This window comes from Homo sapiens, chromosome 2 (assembly GCF_000001405.40).
Source record: "Homo sapiens chromosome 2, GRCh38.p14 Primary Assembly".
In the NCBI taxonomy this organism is placed as follows: domain Eukaryota; kingdom Metazoa; phylum Chordata; class Mammalia; order Primates; family Hominidae; genus Homo; species Homo sapiens.
The window spans coordinates 49,214,202-49,222,129 of record NC_000002.12 but is presented as its reverse complement, the minus strand read 5'-3'; the positions used below and the strand labels follow the sequence as shown (position 1 = coordinate 49,222,129).

General features: G+C 38.1%; 1 long non-coding RNA gene across 1 annotated transcript; it reads left to right on the top strand.

Moving 5' to 3' along the window:
- Positions 1–3,501: 3,501 nt before the first annotated feature.
- Positions 3,502–6,115, top strand: LOC107985810 (uncharacterized). Its single transcript, XR_001739191.2, has 3 exons — positions 3,502–3,668; positions 4,017–4,076; positions 5,883–6,115. It is a non-coding gene; the product is annotated as an uncharacterized LOC107985810 (long non-coding RNA).
- Positions 6,116–7,928: the final 1,813 nt, after the last annotated feature.

Here is a 7,928-nt window from a genome sequence, read left to right as displayed (position 1 = left end):
TAAAGTGGGATGTTATACAAGAGGGTAAAAGCTCTAGATCTTGGACCAGACAGATCTGGCTTTAAGCCCTTTCTCTGAACTACTGTAACTCTGAGAACGTCAGTGAAATTACTCTATCACTTTGAAACCAGCTTCTTGTCTATTAAAATGTTATCCTAACTCATAAGGTCAATGAGAGCATTAAATAAGATAATTTATATGTAAGAATTCAACAGAAGTTCTAGTACATAGGGTACATATGGCAGGTTTTATTGTTTTTAAAAAGGGATGATTCACTGAACTAAAGTGTATAGCAACAGCTTTATAGAGGAAATGTGATCCACATTGGCCCTCAAATATTTCGGTAGACTTGGGTAGAGACTTTCAAAAGTGAAGCTATTATGTTGGGGAATACAGGCTTTAGGGTAGAGATTTGGATTTGCCACTTATTAGCCACATCATCATCTTCGGTGAATTATTTCATTTCTCTGACCTACAATTTCTTCAGCTAAAATTTGTATATCAATATCCATCTTACAGGATCATTGAGAAAATTAAATAGAATTATGCATGTGAAGCTTGGGGAAAGCTCAGCACAGAATGCAATCACTAGGGTTAGGAAGGCAGCAAGGACAAAGTGGTAGGGCATGTTTTTGAAACAGATAAACCAGCAGACCGTCTCTGGTGGAGCCAGCAGACTAAAGGAGAACAAGTGAAAAAGTTAGAGAATCAATTGAAAGAAGATTGTAGGGGGGTCCTCTGTGGCTGGCTAGGGTTTTCTAGCCTGAAAGACTGAAAGTAACTTTTATAATAGAAGCTATCAAATATAAGCTATGGAGGGTTTTATGTAACACTATAAATTGTCAGTTTGCCCATAATGCAAATGATAGAAGAGTTTATAGAGAGAGGTATTCCTGGGTAGATCTATAGGGCAATGTTTTCAAAGTTTCTTAGCAATGAAATACATGTATTAGAATACATGTAAAGAGTAAAATATTAATGAAGAATCACAAAATGTTTTTTAATATAAATTGATATGCTTCATATTTAAACATATTCATTAGGCAAATATGTGTTGAGTACCTATCATCTAAACAGTTAAAGATAGAATAATGAGCAAAGACCTCAGTCACTGTGTTTACAGCGCTTAGTTTCATGGAAGACACAGATATGAATTAAATAGTTATACAAATGAATATAAATATTATACTTTATGTAACAATATATAATGATATAATACATAGGCATATTTCATCATTTTTATGAAAAGAAAGTATAAAGGGCTGTGACACGTCCCAGAGGGCTTTATACAGTCTGCTATGGACTAAATGGTATCCCCCCAAAATTTCTATTTTGAAGCTGTAACTCCCAATATAATGGTGGTATTTGAAGATGGGGCCCATGGAAGGTAGTTAAGTTTAGATGAGATCATAAAGATCAGGCCTTCATGATGGGGGTTAGAGACTAGTACACGGTCTAGGGAATTTGTGTCCTTGACATCCATTCCTCTGCCTCTCTTTGGTATAGATGCCCTTAAGATAGAACAGGATTTGCTTCTCTTCTCTCATAGGCCCTGTAATTGGTCCATGATTGGTATAGGCAGTTTCAAGGCCAACCCTCCTCCTATCTGTAGCAACTTCCTCCTCTCACCTCCTAGTTCACCCATTGACTTCACCTTCCTTTGGTAATCATAATTCTCATCACTTAGCTATTTTCTTGTGCATGTTGTTATATGGTGAATGTGATATAATCTCATTGATCATATAAGAACTATTCTTCTCCTGCTCTGTGCATAGTACATACTGTGGTCAGTCTCTACCCTTTGACTTGACTAGGATGACTGAGAATATGTTTGAGCTGGACTATGAGGGAGTAGATGTAGCATGAGATAAAAGATATTATTTGGTGGAATTGAGGAGGACAAGAAAAATAATAACAACAACAACAAGAGAAGAAGGAGGAGGAGGACAAAAGAAGAGAAAGAGTATTGGATAGCCAGGAATGAAGACGCAAATGTGGGTTAAACTGACACTGACTTTGAATGTTTATTGGGTCAGAGTGATCTCCAGAAAAGCCACTTCCCACTGTTCAGTTGATTGAATATCTCTGAATTTAAAAAGTGCTTCAGACAAATGAAGCAACTTAGTACTGTGGACTCTACTTTTATCATCTGTTACTTTTGTCAAGTGAAAAGCTTGTGATGTCCTCACCTAATCTAGCTAAAGCCTACAAGTAGTCTCTCATCACTCTCTTCCCTTTTCATTCCATTCTCTACACAGCAGCCAAAATGATATTTATAAAAATAAATGGGATATTTATAAACATAAATTGGATCACCGCCTGCTTAAAACCACTCAATGATTTCCTTTGCATTTAGAATAAAACCTAAGCCCCTTACCATGGCTTACAAAACTCTGGCAGTCTAATTCCTGCCCAGCTCTCAAATTGCATATGATTGCCACCCTAACTCCCAATGTACCTGCCCCACTGGCCTTGTTTCCCTTCTTAAACATGCTAATCTCCTCCTCACCTTTGTTCCCTATGAAGGCTGAATGCTGAGTGTGCAATGCATTTCTCTTATGTCTTCACTTAGCTGCCCCTTCTCATGTGTCAGATTTAAGCATGAATGCCACCTCCTAAAATAAGCCTTCCATTAGGTATTCTGTCAAATAACCCTTTGTTCTTTTCTTCTGTAGCATTCGGCAAAATGTAAGTCTTTCAATGAGGGGCAGGTTTTGCCCTTTTGTTCCCCATTATATTAACAGAACTCAACCTATTGTCTTGCATATAGTAGGCACTCAAGTGTTTATTGAAAGAATGAATGGATAGGTGGATGGTTGGATGGTTGGATGGATGCATGGATGGATGGATGGATGGATGGATGGTAGGCGGGTATGCCTGTGGAGAAGAATGTGTGAATCAGATAGCCATTATGAAAGAATAAGTTAGATTTTTCAAAGTTTACTTTTAGACTTTTCAGGAAATTAAAATCTGTCTCTATTTGGCCAAGTGAAAAGTTCTCCAAGCCCAATTTGCCCCCACCCCACCCCCAGTTTTCTTCCCTGCTTGCTCCTCTGGCCTTCCCTTCTCCCTGCAATCCTATAGTACTAGACATCTGTGTACCACATCTAGCCTTTTAAAACTTTTTGTCTTGTTTTCCTTCTTGTCCCAGAAGACTTTGTTCACTGCTTTATCTGTAGCCTCTACACCTTTGTTCAGAATCCAATAGGTGCCTGATAAATACTTTTTAGATGAGCAAAAGTAGAAATCTTTGAGGATGAGAATCATGCCAAATGCCTCTTAGACGTTTTCTGTAATTAAGCAGTATGTCAAAGCATGAGTTAACATTAATGGATTTAGGCACCAATGTTTAGAAAAGTAAATGTATTAAAATTATTTCTGAAATATAGGATGCATATTTTTGCCTTCTTATATGTAGGTCAATGAACACAATTTGATATTTTCTTGATGTCTGAGGATTATTATGTGAGCATCAATTATTGTTTGCTTCTGCCTCTGTAGATGTAGTTTGGTCTGACATTTGCAGGAAGGAGAGGAGGCACAGAAGCAAATGTTGCCCTTCACCATTCCCTGAGCCATCTATGCCAAATGGCCTAGAGCACGCAAGACAGAAAATCTAAGACAACCAAACAAACCATTTTCCTTCAGAAAGGGAAGTGGATCCAAATGTGAGTGGCTTTTCTTTTCTCTCTAAGACAGTAATGCAGAAATTTTGTTTCTAGTGTGGGATGGCTCTCTCACTCTTAAACTTACATACACTTAACAAAATAAGTTGCCAATTCTATCTTTGGGGCTTCCCACCTTCACTTTCAGATTTATTCTAAGAAAGTGTGATAAAAAGAGCACTGCCTTTAGAGTCAGACAGAGCTGAACTTGAACCCCAGCTCTGCCCTGTCTAGCCATGTGAGAGAGATGTGGGATTGAATTATGCAATGTATATATCACACTTTACACAGTATCCAACACAGAAATAAATGCCTGATTCATGGTTGTTGTTTTTTTTCATCTCCCTCTAGAGTGTCTTCTGCCCTCTAATGACCTACCTGCCCCATGAGCCTCACTCTTCATTGCCTAGGGTAGGTAATCAGCTTCCTTCCCCTCACCTTCTGCCATCTGTCAGGAATAGTCCTATGGGGGGGAAAATATATATATATATATATATATATATATATATATATATAAATATATATATATAAATTTACTCAAAGATACTAGATTCTGATACTTCTTGTTTTCCTTTTCCAGAGGCATTTGCATTTACAAAGGAGACAATTAACTCATCCAGAGAGGTGCCTCTTAAATGATAGAAACTAGTACAGTATTCCCTGTACTAGATAGAAAGTACAGTATTCCCTCCTTACCCAAAGTTTCATTTTCCACGGTTTCAGTTATCTATTGTCATCTGTGGTCTAGAGATATTAAAGGGAAAATTCCAGAAATAATTTATAAATTTCAAATTGTGCACCATTCTGAAGAGTATGATAAAATCTCACACCATCCCACTCCAGCTCCACCCCACCCCACATGAATTATCTCTTTGTCCAGCACATCCACACTGTATAACCTCCCTGTCTGTTAGTCACTTAGCAGACATGTTGGTTAACAGATTGAAAAACATAAAATATATATGGTTTGGCACTGTCCATGGTTTCAGGCATCCACTGGGGGTCCTGGAACATATTCCCCGCAGATAAGAGTGAACTACTATACAATTTTTTAGGGTATTGGTTTGCCGATTGCTCTTCAAATTAAACTGCCTTGGTAATGCTGTATCTGTATTCATGCAGGGCAAAGACTTGTACCAATTTTTTTATGTGTATAATTAAAATGTGTGTGCTGATATCTCTGATATATCAAATTTATATTAAAACTTTCTTCTTCAAATGTAATACTGTAAAACATAGCCACTACATTTCCTACCTGGAAAATCATGTAACTCTGGTGCCTTTATGTAGCTGTACACCTCATTCTGACTTATTGAAGGATTTAAGCTTTTCATAGAGAGGGTTTTAACGAAGCCACTTTAAGCCCTTTTTAGATTTGAAAAGATGAAAGCATTGGCAGGACTTGTAAGAGATAGCACGGGGTTTCCGTGTGAACATCTTAACAGCAGAAACGTGCCCCCATCCAAAGAGTGCACTTTGCTATTTATCAGGATTTAGGGAAGAGACTGAAGTGCAAGCGTGATGCAATTTTAAAAGATCCCTTTAAAAGCAGCTATATCCACACCCAGCGGAAATGGGGATCGGTTTATCTAAAAGTCTGCAGGTGGCACGTTTTCTATTTCTGTGGCCATTAGAGGATGAGTCCCAGAGTGAAGTTTGACTTCAAGATCCCAAAGTGTCCTTTCTAACTAAAGAAAATCTCTCAGATAAACTAGTAATAGCTAAGGTTATTTATTGATGTGGTGATTTTACAAAATATACAAGTAAAAGCTAATAATGTTTGAACTGCAATCACAAGAAATAAATTTATATTCCTGGGTAAAAAGGGGAGGTGGCTTTATTTGTTTGGCTGTCTGTTGTTACTGCTTATAAGTTTAGATGTTCAGTCACTGAAACTAAATAATTAGACTGTTTCTATACCACACAAAAGCCCAGTTTTCATCAATATTTAAACACTAAGGGAGAAAGCAAGAAATTGACCATTTATTTAGGAAAGTAATGTGGCTGGCACCTTCTGAAATGGCTCAAACGATCGATCCCTGCCTTCTGTCATTCAAATGCTTGTGTAATCCCTCTCCTATTGAGTGTGGGCTGCACATAGTGACTGGCTTCTACCAAACAGAATATGAAAAAAGTGATGAGATGTCACTTATAAGATTAGGTTATAAAAGAGTGTGACACCTCTCTTTCTCTTCTCTCTTGCTTTCTATAATGAAGCCAGCCACCATTTTGTGAGCTATCCTATGAAGAAACCCATATGGCAAGAAACTAAGAGCAGCTTCTGGATAATAACCAATGAGGAAGTGAGGCACTCAGTCCAATAGCTCATAAGTAACTGAATCCTGCCAGCAACTACAGCCCCAGCCAATACCTTGATTGCAGCCTTGAAAGAAACCCAGAGAAAGAATGGACCCAACTAGACCATGCTGTACTTCTGACCCACAGAAACTGTGAGATAACGAATACTGTTTTTTTAATGTATTTTCATCTATTATTATTTGTTTTTTACATTTTTTAATTTTAATTATTTTTATTATACTTTAAGTTCTAGGGTACATGTGCACAACATGCATGTTTGTTATATAGGTATATATGTGCCATGTTGGTTTGCTGCACCCAGTAACTCATCATTTACATTAGGTATTTCTTCTAATGCTATCCCTCCCCCTGCCCCCACCCCATGACAGGCCCCAGTGTGTGATGTTCCCCACCCTATGTCCAAGTGATCTCATTGTTCAGTTCCCACCTATGAGTGAGAACATGCGGTGTTTGGTTTTCTGTCCTTGCAGTAGTTTGCTGAGAATGATGGTTTCCACCTGCATCCATGTCCCTGCAAATGACATGAACTCATCCTTTTTTATGGCTGCATAGTATTCCATAATGTATATGTGCCACATTTTCTTAATCCAGTCTATCACTGATGCTCATTTAGGTTGGTTCCAAGTCTTTGCTATTGTGATTAGTGCCGCAATAAACATACATGTGCATGTGTCTTTATAGTAGCATGATTTATAATCCTTTGGGTATATACTCAGTAATGGGATGGCTGGGTCAAATGGTATTTCTAGTTCTAGATCCTTGAGGAATCACCACACTGTCTTCCACAATGGTTGAACTAGTTTACACTCGCACCAGCAGTGTAAAAGCATTCCTATTTCTCCACATCCTCTCCAGTACCTGTAGTTTCCTGACTTTTTAATGATCGCCATTCTAACTGGTATGAGATGGTATCTCATTGTGGTTTTGATTTGCATTTCTCTGCTGACCAGTGATGATGAGCATTTTTTCACATGTCTGTTGGCTGCATAAATGTCTTCTTTTGAGAAGTGTCTGTTCATATCCTTCACCCACTTTTTGATGGGGTTGATTTTTTTCTTGTAAATTTGTATAAGTTCTTTGCAGATTCTGGATATTAGTTCTTTGTCAGATGGGTAGATTGCAAAAATTTCCTCCCATTCTGTAGGTTGCCTGTTCACTCTGATGGTAGTTTCTTTTGCTGTGCAGAAGCTCTTTAGTTTAATTAGATCTCATTTGTCTATTTTGGCTTTTGCGCCATTGCTTTTGGTGTTTTAGACATGAAGTCCTTGCCCTTGCCCATGCCTATGTCCTGAATGGTATTGCCTAGGTTTTCTTCTAAGGTTTTTATGGTTTTAGGTCTAACAGTAAGTCTTTAATCCATCTTGAATTAATTTTTGTACAAGGTGCAAGCAACGGATCCAGTTTCAGCTGTCTACATATGGCTAGCCAGTTTTCCCAGCACCATTTATTAAACAGGGAATCCTTTCCCCATTTCTTGTTTTTGTCACATTTGTTAAAGATCAGGGGGTTGTAGATGTGTGGTGTTATTTCTGAGGCCTCTGTTCTGTTCCATTGGTCTATATCTCTGTTTTGGTGCCAGTAGCATGCTATTTTGGTTACTGTAGCCTTGTAATATAGTTTGAAATCAGGTAGTGTGATGCCTCCAGCTTAGTTCTTTTTGCTTAGGATTGTCTTGGCAATGTGGCCTCTTTTTTGGTTCCATATTAACCAAATGAAATAGTTACATGTGAAAGTAGTTTTTTTCCAATTCTGTGAAGAAAGTCATTGGTAGCTTAATGGGGATGGCATTGAACCTATCAATTACTTTGGGCAGCATGGCCATTTTCACGATATTGATTCTTCCTACCCATGAGCATGGAAGGTTCTTCCATTTGCTTGTGTCCTCTTTTATTTCGTTGAGCAGTGGTTTGTAGTTCTCCTTGGAGAGGTCCTTCACATCCCTTG